Source organism: Homo sapiens, chromosome 19, assembly GCF_000001405.40.
Source record: "Homo sapiens chromosome 19, GRCh38.p14 Primary Assembly".
Classification (NCBI taxonomy): Eukaryota; Metazoa; Chordata; class Mammalia; order Primates; family Hominidae; genus Homo; species Homo sapiens.
The window spans coordinates 14477455-14500293 of record NC_000019.10 but is presented as its reverse complement, the minus strand read 5'-3'; the positions used below and the strand labels follow the sequence as shown (position 1 = coordinate 14500293).

At 53.6% G+C, this 22839-nt stretch overlaps 1 protein-coding gene and 1 pseudogene across 7 annotated transcripts, besides 6 other annotated features; one reads left to right on the top strand and one right to left on the bottom strand.

The window, feature by feature from the left end:
- Positions 2146–2645: an enhancer, noted in NCBI's record as "H3K4me1 hESC enhancer chr19:14608461-14608960 (GRCh37/hg19 assembly coordinates)". NCBI's record gives its function as "activates a minimal SCP1, AML or CMV promoter by ChIP-STARR-seq in naive H9 embryonic stem cells {active_cell/tissue: H9 hESC(naive)}" and the evidence as "EXISTENCE:reporter gene assay evidence [ECO:0000049][PMID:30033119]".
- Positions 3834–3893: a silencer, noted in NCBI's record as "silent region_10255". NCBI's record gives its function as "represses an Ori minimal core promoter by ATAC-STARR-seq in GM12878 lymphoblastoid cells {active_cell/tissue: GM12878}" and the evidence as "EXISTENCE:reporter gene assay evidence [ECO:0000049][PMID:35858748]".
- Positions 3926–4852: an enhancer, noted in NCBI's record as "H3K27ac-H3K4me1 hESC enhancer chr19:14606254-14607180 (GRCh37/hg19 assembly coordinates)". NCBI's record gives its function as "activates a minimal SCP1, AML or CMV promoter by ChIP-STARR-seq in primed H9 embryonic stem cells {active_cell/tissue: H9 hESC(primed)}" and the evidence as "EXISTENCE:reporter gene assay evidence [ECO:0000049][PMID:30033119]".
- Positions 4034–4263: a silencer, noted in NCBI's record as "silent region_10254". NCBI's record gives its function as "represses an Ori minimal core promoter by ATAC-STARR-seq in GM12878 lymphoblastoid cells {active_cell/tissue: GM12878}" and the evidence as "EXISTENCE:reporter gene assay evidence [ECO:0000049][PMID:35858748]".
- On the top strand, positions 4167–22532 carry GIPC1 (GIPC PDZ domain containing family member 1). 7 transcript variants are annotated; one of them, NM_005716.4, is made up of 9 exons: positions 4167–4257; positions 7382–7437; positions 8551–8638; positions 17288–17605; positions 19516–19701; positions 19809–19989; positions 20770–20882; positions 21529–21610; positions 21727–22532. In NM_005716.4, exons 4-9 carry the CDS (start codon positions 17318–17320, stop codon positions 21876–21878), a joined length of 1002 nt encoding a protein of 333 aa, NP_005707.1. In that variant the 5' UTR covers positions 4167–4257; positions 7382–7437; positions 8551–8638; positions 17288–17317; the 3' UTR covers positions 21879–22532. The 7 variants fall into 7 exon arrangements, with proteins under 7 accessions (NP_005707.1, NP_974197.1, XP_016881637.1 ...); NM_202468.3 differs by lacking the exon at positions 7382–7437; XM_017026148.3 differs by lacking the exon at positions 17288–17605.
- On the bottom strand, positions 10404–10997 carry SNRPGP15 (small nuclear ribonucleoprotein polypeptide G pseudogene 15; annotated as a pseudogene).
- Positions 19752–20346: an enhancer, noted in NCBI's record as "H3K27ac-H3K4me1 hESC enhancer chr19:14590760-14591354 (GRCh37/hg19 assembly coordinates)". NCBI's record gives its function as "activates a minimal SCP1, AML or CMV promoter by ChIP-STARR-seq in primed H9 embryonic stem cells {active_cell/tissue: H9 hESC(primed)}" and the evidence as "EXISTENCE:reporter gene assay evidence [ECO:0000049][PMID:30033119]".
- Positions 21432–21947: an enhancer, noted in NCBI's record as "H3K27ac-H3K4me1 hESC enhancer chr19:14589159-14589674 (GRCh37/hg19 assembly coordinates)". NCBI's record gives its function as "activates a minimal SCP1, AML or CMV promoter by ChIP-STARR-seq in primed H9 embryonic stem cells {active_cell/tissue: H9 hESC(primed)}" and the evidence as "EXISTENCE:reporter gene assay evidence [ECO:0000049][PMID:30033119]".
- Positions 22533–22839: the final 307 nt, after the last annotated feature.

The window sequence follows — 22839 nt, the reverse complement described above, 5'->3', positions numbered from 1 at the left end:
GTGACACATGCCTCTAATCCCAGCTACTCGGGAGGCTGAGGCGTGAGAATCGCTTGAGCCTGCGAGGTGGAGGTTGCAGTGAGTTGAGATCACATCACTGCACTCCAGCATGGGTGACAGAGTGAGACTCTGTTTCAAAAAAAAAATAAAGAAAATGTGGAAGTATAAGTTTGCCATATAGGGATGAAAAGGCCTTCTTTTGTTTTGTTTTGGGAGATAGGGTCTTGCTCAGTCACCCAGGCTAGAATGCAGTGGTGTGATCATAGCTTACTGTAGGCTTGAACTCCTGGGCTCAAGTGATCCTCCCACCTCAGCCTCCTGAGTAGCTGGGACTATAGTCCAGTGCCTCCTTTTCTGGCTAATTTTTATTATTTTTTGTAGAGACAGGGTCTCATTATGTTACCCAGGCTGGTCTTGAACTCCTGGTGTCAAGCAATCCACCTGCCTCAGCCTCCCAAAGTGCTGGGATTACAGGCATGAGCTAGTGTGCCCAGCCAAGCATTCTTAATATAACTTCACAGTGAGTTCTATTATATCAAAATTAAGAATTTCCCTCCAATGAAGGATATCATGGGTGAAGCAAATTTTCCCCTGACAGAGTGGGAGGACAAATATACAATGTGTAAAACTGCACCTAGGTCATCAGGAGAGTTACATGGTTTAATAAATAGGAAGTTCTTGGAATGATGCCTGGCACATAGGAAGCTGTAGCTCATAGCTCACTGTAGCCTCGACTCCTGGGCTCAAGTGATCCTCCTGCCTCAGCCTCCCGAGTAGCTGGGACTACAGGCACACAGCACCACACCCATTTTTGTAGAGATGGAGGTCTTGCTATGTTGCCTCGGCTAGTCTCGAACTCCTGCCCTCAAGGGATCCTTTCAGCCTCAGCCTCCAAGTCACTGGGATTAGAGGCTGCAGCCACTGCACTCAGCAAAACAATGATGTTCTAACGCACACAACCTTCCCTTCTGCATGTGTTAGCTGGCATTCAAGGATGGAATTTTTTTCTTTTTTCTGTTTTTTCTTTTTCTTTTTTTTTTTTTTTTTTTGAGACGGAGTCTCGTTCTGTTGCCCAGGCTGGAGGGCAGTGGCGCAATCTCGGCTCACTGCCAGCTCCGCCTCCCGGGTTCACACCATTCTCCTGCCTCAGCCTCCTGAGTAGCTGGGACTACAGGCGCCCACCATCACACCCAGCTAATTTTTGTATTTTTAGTAGAGACGAGGTTTCACCATGTTGGCCAGGCTGGTCTCGAACTCCTGACCTTGTGATCCGCCCGCCTCACCCTCCCAATGTGTTGGGATTACAGGCGTGAGCCATTGCACCCGGCCTCTTTTTTCTTTTAAAGGAACAGAGGTAGCGCTCACATCTAAGCTGCTCACCATTGGACTTCCCAGCCTCAGCTTTTAGGCATTCCTCTTGAGCTATAAAATCGGGAAGGAGGGCTGGGCATGGTGGCTCACACCTGTAATCCCAGCACTTTTGGGAGGCCAAAGAGGGAGGATGGCTTGAGCCCAGGAGTTCAAGACCAGCTCTGTGCAACATGGTGAGACCCTGTCTCTATCAAAAAACAAACAAATGGGCCTGGCACAGTGACTCATGCCTGTAATCCCAGCATTTTGAGAGGATGAGGCAGTTGGATCACTTGAGGCCAGGAGTTCGAGACCGGCCTGGCCAACAGGATGAAACCCTGTCTCTACTAAAAATACAAAACTAGCCAGATGTGGTGGCGGGTGCCTGTAATCCCAGCTAATCAGGAGGTTGAGGCAGGAGAATCGCTTGAACCTGGGAGGTGGAGGTTGCAGTGAGCCGAGATTGCGCCATTGCACTCCAGCCTGGGCAACAAGAGTGGAACTCTGTCTCAAAACAAACAAACAGACAAACAAAGGAATAGACTGCGTGCAGTGGCTCATGCCTGTAATCCCAGCATTTCAGGAGGACGAGGCAGGTGGATCACTTGAGGCCAGGAGTTCGAGACCAGCCTGGCCAACATGGCGAAACCCCGTCTCTTTTAAAAATACAAAAAATTTAGCCGAGCATGATGGCGCACGCTGTAATCCCAGCTACTCAGGAGACTGAGGCGTGAGAATTGCTCGAACCTGAGAAGCGGAGGTTGCAGTAAGCTGAGATTGCACCACTGCACTGCAGCCTGGGTGACAGAGTGAGGCTCCGTCTCAAAAAAACAAACAAACAAACAACAACAACAACAAAAATTAGCCAGGTGTGGTGGTACATGCCTGTGGTCCCAGCTACTCGGTAGGCTAAGATGGGAGGATTACTTGAGCCTAGGAGGTGGAGGTTGCAGTGAGCTGAGATCCTGCCACTGCATTCCAGCCTGGCCAACGGAGCTAGACACTGTCTCAAAAAAAAAAAAAAAAAAATTCAGAAAGGAGGTGCCCAGTGCTGCTCTGTGTCTTGAGCAATCCCACAATCCCATCACCCCTTCTCCGGGCACTTCCTCATCAGGAAACAGGAGCCAGTTGGAGTCTGGCTCAGGACTCTGCAGCCTCAGTCATGCTGTCCCCTGGGCTCAGCATCCCGTCCTCTCCAAGTGTGCAGGGGGCAGCTTAGATGCCAGGCTCAAGCAGGGCAGGCAGCACAGTCCCACAGAGGGTACTGGCCAGCCCAGGCAACTGATTGCTCAGTGGGATGGCAGAGGTCAGCAGAACAGGAAGGGACGGACAATAGCTGTGCCTGTTGCCTGGCCTGCCACAGCAATCTCGGTGTTTGCCAGCTGGGTGGGGCTGGCTAGGCAATCCTCAGCAGCAAAGCTCAAGGTTCCATCTCCCATTTTAGTTTGCCCCTCTGCAGGTCCTGGTGGGACTGATATGCACAACATCTCACCCTGGGAACTGCAAAGAACCAGTCTTTCTATGGAGCTTGAGCAGGGTCTCAGCACTTAGAGGCTTCCAGGAACTACAGTTCCCAGAACACACAGCATTCAGCCCCAGTTGCTGTCCAAGTGGCTGGGTTTGAACTAGAACAAGGAAATCTCACTTGTCCCGGGAACTGAGCGTCCTGGCCTGGTCCAGGTGCATTTGTGACTCTTGTTTCTTGGATCTGTGTCCACCTGATAAATCCCCCTTCCTTATAAACTACATGGTCTATTTGTCCACACAGGTTTGCTGAGAACCTGCCGTGTGGCAGCCTGAGGTGGGAGTGAGGGGTTGACAAGAGAGACTCAGCCTCCACCCTCACAGTCAGATGGAGGAGACAGATCTATGAAAGGCTGGCTGGGTACCTTCTGTGACCTAGCACATAAACAAACCAACAAGCAGATAAACTATCTCACCCTTGTCTTTCATTGCATCTTGCCTTTCCACACTGATTTACTAGCTCCCACGATATTGCAGTATCCTAAAGCGTGCTGTATCTCTCTGTCCGGCTTTTGCACGCTCTGTTACCTCTACCAGGAGCACATTCAGCTTATTCACTGACGCGTCTTCAGAGGTAGGACAGAGTCTGGCACGGAGCAGTCTGGCACATTAAATATTTGATGAGTGAGTGAACGAATGAATGAATGAATGCCTTTGTCCATTGTACAGCCCAGGAAGCAGGGAAACTCGGGACCCTCCCTATTCATCTCGATCCCCCGCCCGCCCCCAGAGATTGAATGCATCTTTTTATCCGCTCCGAGGATGGCCAGGCTGGGGCAGAGGAGGCCGGGCAGGGAACTGGGTTGGGGACTGCCATTGACCCCCACCCAGGTCTCCTAAACTGTCCGCTTTCCTGGACGTCGGAAGTTCGAATCCTTTCCCCGAAACCTGGCCTAGGTCACCTGACTCCCCCGCCCCTCACCACCCAGGGCACCCGAGACTGACACTCAGCCGACAGCACGTGGTTCAGGGGCCCCAGCTTCCTTCCCATTGGCCGCTTGTCTCCTTCCTCCCTCGCGATTGGCCGGGGCCCAGCTGCAGCTCCCCCCCCTCCTCAGCCCTCCGGTGGTACAGCCAGCCGCGGCTTAGGCGGGGCGGAACGGTCCACTGCTTCGCGGCGAGGGGAGGAGTCGGGAAGAGCCGGGCGAGGCGGAGGGATCCCTCTGGAATGTTTCCGTCGGGTCCACCCGAAGCGGAAGACGCGGATTGGCTGCGAGCACCGAGAGGCAGCCGCTGATTGGCCGGCCGCGGGCGTCGGCCCCGCCCCCCAGGCGCCGCTGCGGGAGAGGCCCGGTCTGGAGTTTGCGGAGGGCCGAGCCGGGTGCGCACGGGGAGGCGGAGGCAGCGGCGGCGGCGGCGGCGGCGGCGGCGGCGGCGGAGCAGGTGAGTGGCCTCTGCGAGAAGGATGTGTCTGCTCCGGGGGCCTCGGGGGTCGCGGGCCTGCGAGGATCCGGCCGATCCTGCAGGGTGGGGCCGGCGCCGTGGACGCGACTGGAGGTCTAGGCTGCGCGCGGGGATGCCGGAGGCCCCTTCCCAGGGGAAGCGGGGGTGGGGGGTGGTGGGGGCAGCTCCCTTCCTGCTGGCGGGCAGGGGACAAACGCCTCCCAACGCTGGGCTGGGGTTTCTGGGCTTGCCCCTCCCCCCGTCCCCCGGCTGGACTGTCCCCATCCCAGCGTGGACAGGCGCGGGGTCAGTGTTTCTGACCCTTTCCTGGGCACTTCCCCTGAGCTAACCGCGTCTGAACCCTCCAGGGCCTTGGGGGGGACGCAGTGAGGACCACGGTCTGAATAATAATCGTCATGAAAAACTCCACCTCAGCTAGCATTTATTGGAGAGCTTCCGTGTCAGGCATTTACCATGAGGATAATTGACTCTAAACACCTCATGGGAGGTGCTGTGCCTTCTTGTAAAAAAGGTGAGGCAGCCTACCCAGAGAGGTGGAGTGACTTGCCCAAGGTCACACAGCTAGTAACTGGCACATCTGGGACTGGAACTCATGCCCCAGGGTCCAGAACTGGAGTCACACCCACTAGACTGGATACCAATAACTCCACGGCTCAGTTGTTGCTGAGTAGCTCCGGCCCCCTACCCCTCCCACCCCCTACCCCGTACTCATCATCAGGGCCACACCTGCTGGTCTTTTGCTTTACCAGCCACTCAAACAGGAAGCTGCCCTCCTTTCCCTTCTCCCCAGAGCTGGAGAGGGCAGGTCTAACTACCTGGGTCCAGAGAAGAGAGTGGCGTCTGCAGGGGGCCAGGATGCTGGGGTCTGGGCCCACTGGGTTCCCCCCTGGCAACCTGGGCCGAGGCTGGGAAGTAGGCGTTCTCCCCGGAAACACCCAGGAGCCGGTTTTTCAAGAGTGAATCAGAGGCCTCTTTCCCTCCTTCTCTCCAAAGCAACACTGTGCTGGAACGGGGAGCCTGGGCGTGGTTTCCCCCTTCCCCTAGCTTCTGTGTGCTCCCAGGAACCCCCTTCCCCTCCTCCTGCTGGCCACACTGCTTCTGTGTGGCCGTGGGGTTGCTAAGTTTCAGGCCCTTCCCAGGATGAGGGGGTGAGGATGCTGAAATTCCAGCCCAAACACTCAATATCCGGGCTGAAGTGGCTCTTCATCTCTGTGTTCAGGTGTGAGGGGAGCCAGGGAAAGTGGGGAGCCTAGGACAGTTGGCAACCGCACAGCAGGCATGTTTAGGGGGCTGTTTCAAGGATGGGGAGCACAGAGAGCAATCAGAACGAGGACCTGAGACACATTCATTCACTCAGTCTACAAATATTTAGTGAGCACCTGCTACGTGCATGTGCTAGGCACTGTTCTTGGCACAGAAAATGCAACAGTGAACAAAACAAAATCCCTACTTTTGAGGAGTTGGCACTCTGAAAGGAAGGAAGCAGCCAACAAACAAGTTAGCAAGTAAATAAAGAAGATAATTTCAGATGGCACTAACTGCTATGAATAAAATATGAGCGGGTGGTACTGTAGAGAGTAGTTGTGGGCAAGGGGTGCCAGCCCAGCAAAGATCAGGCAAGGGGGCCCGGGCGCGGTGGCTCACGCCTGTAATCCCAGCACTTTGGGAGGCCGAGGCGGGTGGGTTGCTTGAGGTCAGGAGTTTGAGACCAGCCTGGCCAACATGGGGAAACCCTGTCTCTACTAAAAATACAAAAATTGGCTAGGGGCATGGCTCACCCCTGTAATCCCAGCACTTTGGGAGGCTGAGACAGGTGGGTCAAGAGGTCAGGAGTTTGAGACCAGCCTGATCAACATGGTGAAACCCCCTCTCTCCTAAAAATATGAAAATTAGCTGGGTGTGGTGGCGCACGCCTGTAAGCCCAGCTACTCAGGAGGCTGAGGCAGGAGAATCGCTTGAACCCGGGAGGCGGAGGTTGCAGTGAGCTGAGATCGTGCCACTGCACTCCAGCCTGGGCTACAGAGCGAGACTCCATCTCAAAAAAAAATAAAAATAGGCCAGGCGTGGTGGCTTATGCCTGTAATCCCAGCACTTTGGGAGGCCGAGGCAGGCAGATCACCTGAGGTCAGGAGTTCAAGACCAGCCTGACCAACATGGAGAAACCCTGTCTCTACTAAAAATATAAAATAAGCTGGGCGTGGTGGCACATGCCTGTAATCACAGCTACATGGGAGGCTGAGGCAGGAGAGAATCGCTTGAACCCGGTAGGCAGAGGTTGCGGTGAGCCAAGATCGCGCCATTGCACTCCAACCTGGGCAACAAGAATGAAACTCCGTCTCAAAAATAAATAAATAAATAAAAATAAACAAATACAAAATAAAAATACAAAAATTAGCCGGATGTGGTGGTGCGTGCCTGTAATCCCAGCTACTCAGGAGGCTAGGGCAGAAGAATCGTTTGAACCCAGGAGGTGGAGGTTGCAGTGAGCTGAGATGGCGCCACTGCACTCCAACCTGGGTGACAGAGCAAGACTCCATCTCGAAAAAAAAAAAAGAGAGAGAGATGGGCAAGGCCAAGGTCTTTAGGCTGGACCAAGTTTGGAATCACATGGTTGGAGCAGAAGATGAACCCAGAGCAGCGATTCTGCAGGGGTTTGTGGGTCACAGTAAGGAGATTGCAGTTTTTCTTCCAGAAGGTGGGAAACTGTTGTAAAGTTTCAGGCAGGGCAGTGATGCCATCTGGTTTACGTTTTAAAATAGAGACATGAAGTTAAATGACAGCCTGAAGCTGGAAGACAAGAGTTCTGCCAGGGCAGCATGCAATTAAGTTCATGGGCCTGAGCCATCTGTACCACAGGGGCAGTTCCAGCATGCTGGGGCAAGCCTGGGAGGCTTCATGGAGGAGTGGGCCTGGAGTAGGTATTGGCAGGCAGAGAGGGTTGGGATATTCCTGGGCAGGGCAGGGCAGAGGAGGAGACACCCATAGTAATGACAACAGCGTCCTTAAATGGAGTCTGAGGCAGAGTGTAGATGGGATACGTGGGTAATCTCTTTGGATTTCCACAACCACCTTGAGAGTGACAGGAATTCCACCCATTTTTCAGATGAAGAAACTGAGGCCCTGTGATGTGAAGTGACTTGCCCCCCAGCCACACAGCTGGTAAGTGGCAGGGGTGGGATTTGAACCCAGGCCACGAAGCCTCTTATGGCCGTGGCAGGCAGATTCATTACTCACTCACTTTCCTCACTGCTGTTAATGCCTCCTCACGGGTGGGGACACGGAAGCTGGCATGAACCAGGGCAGTGGGGTGGGCAGAGAGAGAGAGTAAGGAGGCTGGGAATTGGTGGTCAGGATGTAGGGATCTTGGGAAAAGGAGGAAGCTTGAATCTTGGTACAGATGGCAGTAGCAAGGCCGGGTGCAGTGGCTCACGCCTATAATCCCAGCACTTTGGGAGGCCGAGGCAGGTGGATCACGAGGTCAGGGGATCGAGACCATCCTGGCTAACATGATGAAACAGCGTCTCTACTAAAAATACAAACAATTAGCTGGGCATGGTGGCGGGCACCTGTAGTCCCAGCTACTCGGGAGGCTGAGGCAGGAGAATGGCGTGAACCCGGGAAGCAGAGCTTGCAGTGAGCTGAGATCGTGCCACTGCACTCCAGCCTGGGCAACAGAGCGAGACTCCGTCTCAAAAAAAAAAACAAAAGATGGCAGTAGCAGTAATTGTCACCAATATTTATGCAACCCTTATTGTGTGCCAGGACTGTTCCAAGCACATGCATGATTTCCTTGGAGCTCAGAGAGGTTAAGACCCTTGCCCAAAGTCACACAGCTATTAAGAGATGAAGCCAGGTTCCAGATTCATGTTTTTAGTTTCCTGCCTCCCAGTGCGTAGAGCTGGCGGAATTGGAGGGATGATGAGGGGTCTTTTCTTTTTTCTTTTTTTTGAGATGGAGCCTCACTCTGTCACCCAGGCTGGAGTGCAGTGGCACGATCTTGGCTCACTGCAAACTCCACCTCCCGGGTTCATGCCATTCTCCTGCCTCAGCCTTCCGAGTAGCTGGGACTGCAGGCGCCCGCCACCACGCCTGGCTAATTTTGAAAATATATGGCTGGGCGTGGTGGCTCATGCCCACCTCGGCCTCCCGGAGTGTTAGGATTACAGGCGAGAGCCACCACACCCGGCCGACACTGATTTTTCTTTCCAGCGAGGTCAGAGCCCGGGGAGGGGTCAGAGCAGAGACAAATGCGACATGACTTATGTTTTACAGGACCATTCTGGCTGCTGTCTGGACAAGAAGTCGTAGGGGGTGAGGGTGGAAGCTGGGAAACCCACAGGAGGCAACCACACTAGTTTAGGTAAGTGATCATGGAGATGGACCAGGTGAGATGAGAGGGTGTGTTAGGGGACAGACGAATGGATGCATGAACAAATGGATACATGAGACTAGGTGCAGGCTGGGTGCAGTGGCTCACACCTCTAATCCCAGCACTCTGGGAGGCCAAGGTGGGCGAATCACCTGAGGTCAGGAGTTCCAGACCAGCCTGGTCAACATGGAGAAACCCCATCTCTACTAAAAATACAAAAATTAGCCAGGTGTGGTGGCACGCACCTGTAATCCCAGCTACTCAGGAGGCTGAGGCAGGAGAATCGCTTGAACCTGGGAGGTGGAGGTTGCAGTGAGCCGAGATCGCGCCATTGCACTCCAGCCTGGGTGACAGAGTGAGAGTTCATCTCAAAAAAAAAAAAGATTGGATGCGGCCAAGCTGAATCCAGCATGGCCCCCTGGAAGAGACCATTGGATAGGAGGCACCAGGAAGTCCCTTTTACATAAGAAAATATAGGCTGAGCGCAGTGGCTCACACCAGCCTTCTTTGGCTCACACCATGTTGGCCAGGCTGGTCTCAAACTCCTGACCTCAGGTGATCCACCCGCCTCGGCCTCCCAAAGTGTTGGGATTACAGGCGGGAGCCACCGTCCCTGCACCCGGCCTAACTAATGTATTTTCTTTCTTTCTTTCTTTCTTTTTTTTTTTTTTTGAGATGGAGTCTCGCTCTGTCACCCAGGCTAGAGTGCAGTGGCATGATCTCGGCTCACTGCAAGCTCCGCCTCCCGAGTTCACGCCATTCTCCTGCCTCAGCCTCCCGAGTAGCTGGGACTACAGGTGTGTGCCACCACGCCCAGCTAATTTTTTTTGTATTTTTAGTAGAGACGGGGTTTCACTGTGTTAGCCAGGATGGTCTCGATCTCCTGACCTCGTGATCCACCCGCCTTGGACTCCCAAAGTGCTGGGATTACAGGCGTGAGCCACCACACCTGGCCTTTTTTTTCTTTTTGAGACAGAATTTCGCTCTTATTGCCCAGGCTGGAGTGCAATGGCACTGTCTCAGCTCACCTCAACCTCTGCCTCCCAGGTTCAAGCGATTCTCCTGCCTCAGCCTCCCTAGTAGCTGGGATTACAGGCATGTGCCACTACACCCAGCTAATTTTGTATTTTTAGTAGAGATGGGGTTTCTCCATGTTGGTCAGGCCAGTCTCGAACTCTCGACCTCAGGTGATCCGCCTGCCTCTGCCTCCCAAAGTGCTGGGATTACAGGCGTGAACCACCGTTCCTGGCCTAACTAATGTATTTTCTTTTTTTTCTTTTTGAGACTGAGTCTCTCTCTGTTGCCCAGGCTGGAGTGCAATGGCACGGTCTTGATTCACCGCAACCTCCACCTCCCAGGTTCAAGCAATTCTCCTGCCTCAGCCTCCCCAGTAGCTGGGATTACAGGTGCCCACCACCGTGCCTGGCCTAATTTTTTGTAATTTTAGTAGAGACGGGGTTTCACCATGTTGGCCAGGCTGGTCTTGAACTGCTGACCTCGTGATCCGCCCGCCTCGGCCTCCCAAAGTGCAGGGATTACAGGTGTGAGCCACTGCACCTGGCCAACTACTGTAAGTTCTGGAGAACTAATCCGGGCTCTTGAGAGCAAGCACTCATTGCTTCCAGAGCTACTTCAAGCCATTCAGGAGAGATCTGGCCCCATAACACAGACACCTCCCACTAGGCCCCACCTCCCAACACCGCACCACCACTTTGGGGATCAAATTTTAGCATGAGTTTCTTTTTTTTTTTTTTTCTCCTTGCCATGTTTCACATTTAATAAGATTCTGTCACTTTAATACATAAAACCCTTTGAAATCAATGTCAACCAGGAAAATTCATGTTAGAAAAAATTGGAATGAGAGCTAATATTGTATATTCAGAACATCTGAAAAAACATTTTTGACTATTACAAAAGTTTATTTAACAAAAAGTCTAATATGAAAATGTACATGACCTAATTTTTACATCATAGTAAAACAGGCCCTATGGAGAGAGGACATGGGTTTCTCTGCTGAACAGCCATTATTTATACTCATTCCAAGGCTTCTAACATGATGATACTATTTCCTCGTATTTCCACCATTCCAATATTTTTCTGTTGTCCACTAGTCGCCATCTCCACACATTCATCTATCACAAGGTTCATAAAGGGATCAAATCCCCGCAATATTCCTTGGACATGTCTGCCACCATTTAATTTCAATGAAAACTTCTTGTCCGTAAATTTTTTCAACTCAGGAGGGTGAGCTTTGCTCATGGTGTATACTCCATGGGCTCACAGATGCCTTGGAACAGAACGCACGGCTTCCCTCACGCTACCGCGGTAGGCCCAGCATCTTGTGCCTGGCGTCATCGACCTCGTTAGCCAATCGATTGTTCGAGCATGAGTTTCAATGGGGCAAACCTTATCCAAACCATAGCAGGCTGGGTGTGGTAGCTCATGCCTATAATCCCAGCACTTTGGAAGGCCAAGGCGGGAGGATTGCTTGAGCCCAGGAGTTCAGGACCAATCTGGGCAACGTAGTGAGACCCGTCTCTACAAAAAATAAAAATTAGCTGGGCATGGCTGTGAACACCTGTAGTCTCAGCTATTCAGGAGGTTGAGACAGGAGGATTGCTTGAGCCCAGGAATTTGAGGCTGTAGTGAGCTGTGATCACATCACTCCACTGCAGCCTGGACGACAGAGTGAGACCCCATTAAAAAAAAAAAATCAGGAAAACATAGCAACCTGTTACCTCCCTGCCCTCATGTTCTCACTATCCCCCCTTCACTCACTGTTCCAACCCCCCAGGCCTCCTCACTGTTCCTCAAACATGCCAATTGCATGCCCAGTTCAGGGCTTGGCTTTTCTTTCTTTTTTTTTTTTTTGTTTAGACCGAGTCTCGCTCTGTCGCCCAGGCTGGAGTGCAATGGCGTGATCTCAGCTCACTGCAACCTCAGCCTCAGGAGTAGCTGGGATTACAAGCATGCACCACTACGCCCAGCTAATTTTTGTGTTTTTAGTAGAGATGAGGTTTGCATGCACCACCATACCTGGCTAATTTTTGTATTTTTAGTAGAGACGGGGTTTCACCATGTTGGTCAGGCTGGCCTCAAACTCCTGACCTCATGATCCGCCTGCCTTGGCCTTCCAAAGTGCTGGGATTACAGGCATGAGCCACCGCGCCTGGCTAGGGCTTTTCTTTGTTTTTTTGAGATGGAGTCTCGGTTTGTCACCCAGGCTGGAGTGCAGTGGTGTGATCTCGGCTCACTGCAACCTCCGCCTCCTGCATTCAAGTGATTCTCCCACCTCAGCTTCCCGAGTAGCTGGGATCACAGGTGTGCACCACCACGCCCACCTGTGTATTGTATTTTTAGTAGAGATGGGGTTTTGCCATGTAGGCCAGGCTGGTCTCAAACTGCTGACCTCATGTGATCCGTCAACCTCAACCTCCCAAAGTGCTGGGATTACAGGCTTGAGCCACCATGCCCAGCCCCAGCTCAGGGCCTTTCTACTGGCTGTTCTCTCTACTTGGGACGTTCTTGCCCCAAATCATTGCATGAATGCTTCCTCCTGTGGTTCAGGTCTCAAGTTCAGCTTCACGTGCTCAGAGACGCCCTCACTGATCTTGTCTATAGAACTTGTCTTGCTTTGTCTCCATATCACTATTAAAAATTATATGAGGCTGGGCACAGTGGCTCATGCCTATAATCCCAGCTCGTTAGGAGTCCATGGCAGGAGGATTACTTGAGCCCAGGAGTTTGAGACCAGCCGGGACAACATAGCAAGACCCTGTCTCTAAAAAATAAAAATAAAAAAATTAGCAGGGCATGGTGGCAAGCACCTGTGGTCCCAGCTACTCAAGAGGCTGGGGCGGGAGGATCACTTGAGCCCAGGAGGGCAAGGGTGCAGTGAGCTCTGATTGCACCACTGCACCTCAGCCTTGGCAACACAGCAAGACTCTGTCAAAAAAAAAAAGGAAAATAAAGGAAAAAATTTATATTAGACATTTACACATTTCCCTGCTCCCTGTGCATTTCCTCTTCCGGACTGTCCACTTCTGGAGGTCATGTGCAGAGCCCCAGCTAGCCTATATAGCATCTGTGAGTGAATTAGAAAGACATCTCTTCGGCCGGGTGCAGTGACTCATGCCTGTAATCCCAGCACTTTGGGAGGCTGAGGCGAGCGAATCACGAGGTCAGGAGTTCGAGACCAGCCTGGCCAACGTAGTGAAACTCCGTCTCTACTAAAAACACAAAAAAAATTAGCCGGGCATGGTGGCGTGCACCTGTAGTCCCAGCTACCTGGGAGGCTGAGGCAGGAGAATTGCTGGAACCTGGGAGGCGGAGCTTGCAGTGAGCCAAGATTGCACCACTGCACTCCAGCCTGGGCAACACAGAACAGACTCTGTCTCAAAAAAAAAAAAAGAAAGAAAGAAAAAAAAGAAAAAAAGAAAGGCATCTCTTCCTCCTGGCAGACACCACACCAAGAAATATAGCTTGGCAGGCAGTGCACAGACCGAATTTCAGTCCTACTTGCCACCTTGGTCTAGTAATTTTGCACAGTACACAACTTGTGTAACTGAACATGGTGGCCCTAGTCAGGGATCTTGCTTTTTTTATTGAAGACAGTATCTAAAATGGTGCACAGAATACAGTAAGTACTAAAAAGAAAAAAAAAATTGTTTGAAGGGAGGGGAGAATGGAGAAAGAGAGAAATAAAGAAGCGGGCCGGGCGCGGTGGCTCATGCCTGTAATCCCAGCACTTCAAGAGGCTGAGGCGGGTGGATCACTTGAGGTCAGGAGTCTTCTGTAGTCACAGCTACTTGGGAGGTTGAGGCAGGTGAATCGCTTGAACCCAGGAGGCGGAGGTTGCAGTGAGCTGAGATCGCACCACTGCACTGCTGCTTGGGTGACAGAGCAAGACTCTGTCTCAAAAAAAAAAAAAAAAAGAAAGAAAGAAAGCAAGAAAGAAACAGAAAAAAAATGTATGTGGTGTAGAAAACAACCCCAAAAGTCTTAGTGGCTGAATTCAGCAAAGATTTGCTTTTTCTTCCTGCTACACTTCCATTGCGGCTCAGCAGGGGGCACCATTCACCGTAGTCATTCAGGGCCCGGCCTCATAGAGTCGCCACCATATCAAATGTGGCTCATCACCCTGCCTGGGAAAGATAGATCTCTGGAGGCTCCAGCACTTAAATGCCTCAGCCCAGAAATGTCATGTGCCACTTCCTCTCACAACCTATTTGCCAGAAATAATCATTTATCTGCCCAGTCACAAGGAGGCCAGGAAGTGCCATCCACCTGTTTGGTCCAAAGGGGGAGAGTCAGAAATTTTTTGCACACAGTGTTAGTGACTGTGGCTGAGAGGAAAATAGAAGCGTAGTCGCTTTCAGCCTCCATTTTCTCATCTGTTCAATGGGCATAATTGTAGCATAACGTGATCCCTGTGTTACAGTGTGGTGTGAGGGTTAAGGAAGGTCACAGGCCGGGCACGGTGGCCCATACCTGTCATGCCAGAGCTTTGGGAGGCCAAAAGCTCCTTGAAGCCAGGAGTTCCAGACCAGCCTGGGCAACAGAGAAAGATCACCTCCTTGCCAGGCGCAGTGGCTCACGCCTGTAATCCCAGCACTTTGGGAGGCCGAGGCAGGCGGATCATGAAGTCAGGAGATCGAGACCATCCTTGCTAACGTGGTGAAACCTCGTCTCTACTAAAAATACAAAAAATTAGCTGGGCATGGTGGCGGGCACTTGTAGTCCCAGCTACTCCGGAGCCTGAGACAGGAGAATGGCGTGAACCCTGGAGGTGGAGCTTGCAGTGAGCCGAGATCGCGCCACTGTACTCCAGCCTGGGTGACATAGTGAGACTCTGTCTCAAAAAAAGAAAAAAAAGAACTCCTTTCTCTCTCTCTCCCTCTCTCTGTCTCTCTCTCTCTCTCTCTCTCTCTCTCTCTCTCTCTCTATATATATATATATATATTTGTTTATTTATTTATTTATTTATTTTTTGAGACGGAGTCTATCTCTGTCACCCAGGCTGGAGTGAGTGCATTGGCACGATCTCTGCTCACTGCCAACCTTCGTCTCCTGGGTTCAAGCAATTCTCCTGCCTCAGCCTACCCAGTAGCTGGTACTACAGGCGTCTGCCACCATGCCCAGCTAAGTTTTGTACTTTTAGTAGAGATGTGGTTTCACCATGTTGGCCAGGCTGGTCTCGAACTCCTGACCTCAAGTGTTCTGCTCACAGCCTCCCAAAGTGCTGGGATTACAGATGTGAGCCATCGCACCAGGCCTACAATAAAATTTAAAAAAAAAATAGTCGGGTGTGATGGTACATGCCTGTAGTTCTAGCCACTTGGGAGGCTGAGAATGGAGGATGGCTTGAGCCCAGGAGGTTAAAGCTGCAGTGAGCCATTATCGTGATCACCCCACTGCACTCCAGCCTGGGGACAGAGCAATAAGAGACCCTGACTCTTTTATTTATTTATTTTTATTATTTTTTTTTGAGACTGAGTCTTGCTCTGTTGCCCAGGCTGGAGTGCAGTGGTGCAATCTCAGCTCACTGCAATCTCTGCCTCCCAGGTTCAAGCGATTCTCTCGTCTCAACCTCTCGAGTAGCTGGGATTACAGACGCCCGCCACCACGGCCAGCTAATTTTTGTATTTTTAGTAGAGACGGGGTCTCACCATGTTGGCCAGGCTGATCTCCAACTCGTGACCTCAGGTGATCTGCCCACCTCAGCCTCCCAAAGTGCTGGGATTACAGGCGGGCACTATGGCTCATTCCTGTACTCCCAGCACTTTTGAGAGGCCGAGGCAGGAGGATTGCTTGAGTCTAGGAGTTTGAGATCACTCTGGGCAACATATTGAGACCCCTCATCTCTGCAAAAAGTGTTTTTTGTTTTTTGTTTTTTGTTTTCTGTTTTTGAGATGGAGTGTCATTCTGTCACCCAGGCAATGGCACGGTCTCAGCTCACTGCAACCTCCGCCTCCCAGGTTTCAGGCAATTCTCCTGCCTCAGCCTCCTGAGTAGCTAAGACTACAGGCACATGCCACCACACCCGGCTAATTTTTGTGTTTTTTTGGTAGAGACAGGGTTTCACTATGTTGGCCAGGCTGGTCTTGAATTCCTGACCTCGTGATCCACCCGCCTCAGCCTCCCAAAGTGCTGGGATTACAGGCATGAGCCACCGCACCCGGCCTGCAAAAAGTTTTAAAACGTCAGCTGAGCATTAGGCACAGTGGTTCACGCTTTTAATCCCAGCGCTTTGGGAGGCTGAGGTGGGCGGATCACTTGAGGTCAGGAGTTCAAGACCAGCCTGGCCAACTTGGTGAAACCCCATCTCTACCAAAAATGTAGAAATTACCCCGGTGTGGTGGCACAGACATGTAATCCCAGCTTCTTGGGAGGCTGAGACAAGAGAATCGCTTGTACCCGGGAGGCAAGAGATTGCAGTGAGTGAGCTGAGATTGCACCACTGCACTCCAGCCTGGGCAACGGAGTGAGACTCAGTCTCAAAAAAAAAAAAAAAAAAAGAGTCAGGGTCTCTTCTTCAAGAATCACTTGAACCTGAGAGGCAGAGGTTGCAGTGAGTCAAGATCACACCGTTGCAATCCAGCCTAGGGGACAGAGTGAGACTCCATCTCAAAAAAATAAAATAAAGGTTAGCTGAGCTTCATGGCATGTGCCTATGGGCCCAGCTATTTGAGAGACTGAGGTGTGAGGATCCCTTGAGCCTGGGAGATCAAGGCTGCAGTGAGCTTTAATTATACCACTGCACTCCAGTCTAAGTGACAGAGCAAGACCCTGTCACAACAACAAATGAAACACACAAGGAAGGTCACAAAGCAATAATCCTAGCTGGTATTATTATTATTATTATTATTATTATTATTATTATTATTATTATTATTATTGAGACAGAGTCTTGCTCTTTTGCCCAGGGTGGAGTGCAGTGGTGTGATCTTGGCTCACTGCAACCTCTGCCTCCTGGGTTCAAGCAATTCTTATGCCTCACCCTCTTGAATCACTGAGATTACAGACATGCGCCACCATGCCTGGCTAATTTTTTTGTGTTTTTGGTAGGGATGGGATTTCGACATGTTGGTCAGGCATCTCGAACTCCTGACCTCAAGTGATCCTCCCGTCTCAGCCTCCCACAGTGCTGGGATTACAGGTGTGAGCTTTTTATTTTATTTTATTTTATTTATAGACGGAGCCTTAGTCTGTCACCCAGGCTAGAGTGCAGTGGTGCGATCTTGGGTCACCGCAACCTCCACCTCTCCAGTTCAAGCTATTCTTGTGCCTCAGCCTCCCAAGTAGCTGGGATTACAGGTGCACACCACCACACCCGGCTAATTTTTATATTTTTAGTAGAGGTGGGGTTTCACCATGTTGGCCAAGCTGGTTTCAAAGTTTTGACCTCAAGTGATCCGCCCACCTCAGCCTTCCGTAGTGGTGGGATTACAGGCGTGAGCCACCGCACCCAGCCCTATTATTACTTTTATATAAGTGTCCTGTCACTATACAAGAGATGAGGATTTCAACCGAGGCCAATTTGTTCTCTGAGTATTTCCTTGGGCCTGTATGGTTCGAGTAGTGTGGGAGGGGCACCCAAGGCCTCTGCCCAGGCCCTGAGCCCCACTTCCTGTCCTGCAGATCTTCTGGTGACCCCACTTCTCGCTGCTCATGCCGCTGGGACTGGGGCGGCGGAAAAAGGCGCCCCCTCTAGTGGAAAATGAGGAGGCTGAGCCAGGCCGTGGAGGGCTGGGCGTGGGGGAGCCAGGGCCTCTGGGCGGAGGTGGGTCGGGGGGCCCCCAAATGGGCTTGCCCCCCCCTCCCCCAGCCCTGCGGCCCCGCCTCGTGTTCCACACCCAGCTGGCCCATGGCAGTCCCACTGGCCGCATCGAGGGCTTCACCAACGTCAAGGAGCTGTATGGCAAGATCGCCGAGGCCTTCCGCCTGCCAACTGCCGAGGTATCCACTGGGGAGCCGGGCACCAGGGTCCCTGATGGTGGACCAGAGGTCTGGGCCTGCATCCTGTTCATGAGCTGGGGCTCAGATGCTGAAGCTGCAGATGCTGAGCCTGGGCCCCACTCAGTGGTGGGGGCCAATGGCCTGGGCTGGATGCTGAGTCCCCATGAGGCACTGGGAGGCTTGTGCCCCTGTGAATTGTGGGGAACTGGAGGCCAGGGCTGGATGCTGAGTTCCCATCAGGCACTGGGAGACCTGTGCCCCAGTGGATTGTGGGAGCTGATGGCCAGGGCTGCATGCTGACATCCCATCAGGCATTAGGAGGGGTGTACCCCCAGTAGATTGTGCAAGACTAGGGGTGGATGCTGAGTTCCCAACAGGCACTGAGAGACCTGAGCTCCAATGGACTGTGGGAGGCCAGGGCTGGATGGATTGATTGGATGGATGGATTGAGAGGCCTGCATCCCAGTCGATTGTGCAAAACTGACGACCAGGGCTGGACGCTGAGTTCCCATCAGGCGTTGGGAGGCCTGCACCCCAGTAGATTGTGGGGAGCTGATGGCCACAGTTAAATGCTGAGTTCCCATCAGACACTGAGAGGCCTGCACCTCTACAGACTGTGGGAGCTGATGGCCAGGGCTGGATGCTGAGTTCCTGTCAGGCATTGGGAGGCCAGTGCCCCATGAGATGGTGGAGGCTAGAGGCCAGATACGAGATGCACTTCTCCGTGATGCCTTGGAGAAACTCAACGCTGTGGGAGGCAGGCTTGCCTGGTGCCAAGCACTGTGGGGATAGATGGGAGGGGGTCAAGGAGGGCAATAGTGGGTTTGAGCAAGAAGTAGACGCAGGGGTCTCCCTAAGTGGGATGAGTTTCTGTGTCCTCCACAAGCATTTCCTGAGCACTCACTGTGTGCCAGGCTCCGTTCCCTGAAAGCAGCAATGAATTTTTTTTTTTTTTTTTTTTTTTTTTTTGAGATGGAGTCTTGCTCTGTCACCAGGCTGGAGTGCAGTGGCACGATCTTGGCTCTCTGCAACCTCCACCTCCTGGGTTCAAACCATTTTCCTGCCTCAGCCTCCCGAGTAGCTGGGATTACAGGCGCCCGCCACCAGACCCAGCTAATTTTTGTATTTTTAGTAGAGACAGGATTTCACCATGTTGGCCAGGTTGGTCTCGATCTCCTGACCTCGTGTTCTGCCCACCTCGGCCTCCCAAAGTGCTGGGATTACAGGCGTGAGCCACCGCACCTGGCACAGCAATGAATTTTTGCTAGGACCGAAATCCTAGCTGGGTACAGTGGTGCACACCTATAGTCCCAGCTACTTGGGAGGTTGAGATGGGGGGATCACTGGAGCTCAGGAGTTCCAGGCCAGCCTGGGCAACATAATGAGGCTCCCATCTCTAAAAAAAATTATTTTAACTATGTGGGTGTGGTGGCACGTGTCTGTGGTCCCAGCTACTCGGGAGACTGAGACAGGAGGATCACTTGAGCCCAGGAGTTGGAGACCAGCCTGTGCAACATAGTGAGACCCCATATCTCCACAAAAAATACAAAAATTAGCCAGGCATGGTGGCGAGCACCTGTAGTTCCAGCTACTTGGGAGGCTGAGGTGGGAGGATTGCCGGAATCTGGGAGGTTGTGGCTGCAGTGACTATGATGGCACCACTGCACTCCAGCCTGGGTGACAGAGCAAGACCCTGTCTCAAAAAGAGAAAGGAAAACTAAATCCTAGTCCTAGCAGAGCTGACACGCTAATGTGGGCCCTGCTGTGGCCCTGGCTCAGGCTCAGTGGGTGATGAGTTACTGGGATGGAATCCCCCTAGTCCTCTCCCAGCTCTCTCCCTTCGCCCTCCAGTGGTGATTAGAAAAGGGGGAGGGAGGGGGAAGAGGTTTCAGCGTCTCCCACCCCTGCAGGTGATGTTCTGCACCCTGAACACCCACAAAGTGGACATGGACAAGCTCCTGGGGGGCCAGATCGGGCTGGAGGACTTCATCTTCGCCCACGTGAAGGGGCAGCGCAAGGAGGTGGAGGTGTTCAAGTCGGAGGATGCACTCGGGCTCACCATCACGGACAACGGGGCTGGCTACGCCTTCATCAAGGTGCCTGGGGAGACGGGGCACCCCGGAGGCCTGGGAGTGAGGGTGGGCCATGGGACCCCGGAAACCAGGGCAGAGCCCCAAGGGCTGATGACTCCCCGCCCCCGCAGCGCATCAAGGAGGGCAGCGTGATCGACCACATCCACCTCATCAGCGTGGGCGACATGATCGAGGCCATTAACGGGCAGAGCCTGCTGGGCTGCCGGCACTACGAGGTGGCCCGGCTGCTCAAGGAGCTGCCCCGAGGCCGTACCTTCACGCTGAAGCTCACGGAGCCTCGCAAGGCCTTCGGTGAGGAGCCGCCCCCTGGACCTCCCCAGTGGCGCTGCTCGCATGGGCGCAGGCGGTGGTGCCGGGAGCGGCCAGCAGGTGGCGCCCAAGCCTGGCCTGCCGAAAGGGAAGGGGTTGCAGAAAGGGAAGGGGTTGCAGCTCCTCCCGACCCCAGACGGGGTGCTGGCCCTTGGCCCAGCCTGGGAGAAGGGCGGGGGCGAGGAGGAAGTTGCCCTCACACCTAGCTTCCAGGGGCCATTAGCCCAGCCAAGCGCCCTCAGCCCTGGCCAGCCCCCTATCCCCAACAGGCCAGGCTTGACTGCTCAGTGCCAGCCCCCCCACTTTTCCATCTGGCTTCACTAACTCTCAGGAATGGGCCCCAGGCCCCTGAGGTGGGGGTGGGGGACTAAATCACTTCCCTGGGCAGGTAGGGCTGGTCTGTGGCCCAGCAGCCATACCCCCTTGGCCAAGAGGAGACGGACTCAGGCAGCTGGAGACTCAGGCTGGGGTACACCTGCTTCCTGTCCCCCAGCCCCTGGGAGCAGAAGTGGCCCCTCCAGTCTCCCCTCCAGCATTTCCTATTCCTGGCCCCCAGCTGTTCCCCCTGCTCTGCCCCACATCCATGCCAGGCCTGAGTCAGGATTCCTGCCCTCCTGGGATCACCCCGGCCCCAGCCCCCAGAAACTTGCAGAAGCCTGGAGAAGTTTGGGGTGGTGGTGAAAGCCAGGAAGGACAAGTTCCTGCCCAGAACGTGCTAAAACCAAGCTTCCCCCACACTCACTCCTCTCCTGCCTCCCACAGACATGATCAGCCAGCGTTCAGCGGGTGGCCGCCCTGGCTCTGGCCCACAACTGGGCACTGGCCGAGGGACCCTGCGGCTCCGATCCCGGGGCCCCGCCACGGTGGAGGATCTGGTGAGTGCTCCAGCCGGACCCTATCTCCGGCATCCCTTCCCTTTCTTTTTTTTTTTTTTGAGACAGAGTCTCACTCTTGTCACCCAGGCTGGAGTGCAGTGGTGCAATCTCGGCTCACTGCAACCTCTGCCTCCCAGGTTCAAGCGATACTCCTGCCTCAGCCTCCCAAGTAGCTGGGATTACAGGTGCCCACCACCATGCCCAGCTGATTTTTGTATTTTTAGTAGAGATGGGGTTTCACCATGTTGGCCAGGCCAGGAGTTGGTCTCGAACTCCTGACATCAGGTGATCCAGCCTCCTTGGCCTCCCAAAGTGCTGGGATTATAGGCATGAGCCACCGCGCCCAGCCCTCCCTTCCTTTTCATAACCGGCAGCATTACCTGTTAGCTGAGGGGACTCTGGGCAGACAGCCTGGATTCTAGTCCACTTCTGCCACTTCCCAGCTCCCAGGGACCTTCCTTGGGCACATGGGCCGCAGTTTGCCCATCAGTAAAATGGGGATGAGCTGAACACCGATACCACCTTCTCAGGGTTGTCCTGAGGTCTAAATACGAATATATGTAAAGTGGTGACAATGGCAGTCCGTCCAATTACTATGTATATTCACATTGTTATGATGTCGCTGTCACCCCTCCCTGGCCCCCAGCCCTCTGCCTTTGAAGAGAAGGCCATTGAGAAGGTGGATGACCTGCTGGAGAGTTACATGGGTATCAGGGACACGGAGCTGGGTGAGTGAGGGCTGCCTGGGGGAGGGGGCATCTAGGTCTGCTGGGGGCCGAATCCACCCTGAGCCCCTTGGTCCCTGGTGTCATTTGTGCCTCCGTTCTGACCCCTCCCCCAATAGCGGCCACCATGGTGGAGCTGGGAAAGGACAAAAGGAACCCGGATGAGCTGGCCGAGGCCCTGGACGAACGGCTGGGTGACTTTGCCTTCCCTGACGAGTTCGTCTTTGACGTCTGGGGCGCCATTGGGGACGCCAAGGTCGGCCGCTACTAGGACTGCCCCCGGACCCTGCGATGATGACCCGGGCGCAACCTGGTGGGGGCCCCCAGCAGGGACACTGACGTCAGGACCCGAGCCTCCAGCCTGAGCCTAGCTCAGCAGCCCAAGGACGATGGTGAGGGGAGGTGGGGCCAGGCCCCCTGCCCCGCTCCAATCGGTACCATCCCCTCCCTGGTTCCCAGTCTGGCCGGGGTCCCCGGCCCCCCTGTGCCCTGTTCCCCACCTACCTCAGCTGGGTCAGGCACAGGGAGGGGAGGGATCAGCCAAATTGGGCGGCCACCCCCGCCTCCACCACTTTCCACCATCAGCTGCCAAACTGGTCCCTCTGTCTCCCTGGGGCCTTGGGTTCTGTTTGGGGGTCATGACCTTCCTAGTTTCCTGACGCAGGGAATACAGGGGAGAGGGTTGTCCTTCCCCCCAGCAAATGCAATAATGCCCTCACCCCTCCTGAGAGGAGCCCCCTCCCTGTGGAGCCTGTTACCTCCGCATTTGACACGAGTCTGCTGTGAACCCCGCAACCTCCTCCCCACCTCCCATCTCTCCTTCCAGGCCCATCCCTGGCCCAGAGCAGGAGGGAGGGAGGGACGATGGCGGTGGGTTTTTGTATCTGAATTTGCTGTCTTGAACATAAAGAATCTATCTGCTGTTGGACCTGTGTGGCTTCGGGGTGGGAGAGGGGGAAGATTGGGGCTGAGAAAGAATTCAGCAGCTGAAATCCATCTTCCGCAGGCTCCAAATTGAATTAGGAGCTGGCACCAAGCCACCTGCCCCCTCCCACTGTTCCTTCTGGCTGCAGGCCACCAGGCTTCCAGGCAGGGCCAGAGCTTCCTGGACTACTGAGGGTTCAAATCCTGCCCCCTCTCCCACAAGGCCTCCTACCCCCTGGAGCTTCACAAGGCTGCTGTCTGCAGCTGGTGACAACCCCCGGACCGTGGGGAGCACCAGGGCATTGAAA

What these genes read in the sequence shown, in the direction of transcription:
- GIPC1 (NM_202470.3), top strand. Translation starts at nt 17,318, where the DNA reads ATGCCGCTGGGACTGGGGCGGCGGAAAAAGGCGCCCCCTCTAGTGGAA. An exon ending in TCCGCCTGCCAACTGCCGAG is followed by an intron (nt 17,606 to 19,515) that starts GTATCCACTGGG and finishes CCACCCCTGCAG; the next exon opens with GTGATGTTCTGCACCCTGAA. An exon ending in GGAGCCTCGCAAGGCCTTCG is followed by an intron (nt 19,990 to 20,769) that starts GTGAGGAGCCGC and finishes TGCCTCCCACAG; the next exon opens with ACATGATCAGCCAGCGTTCA.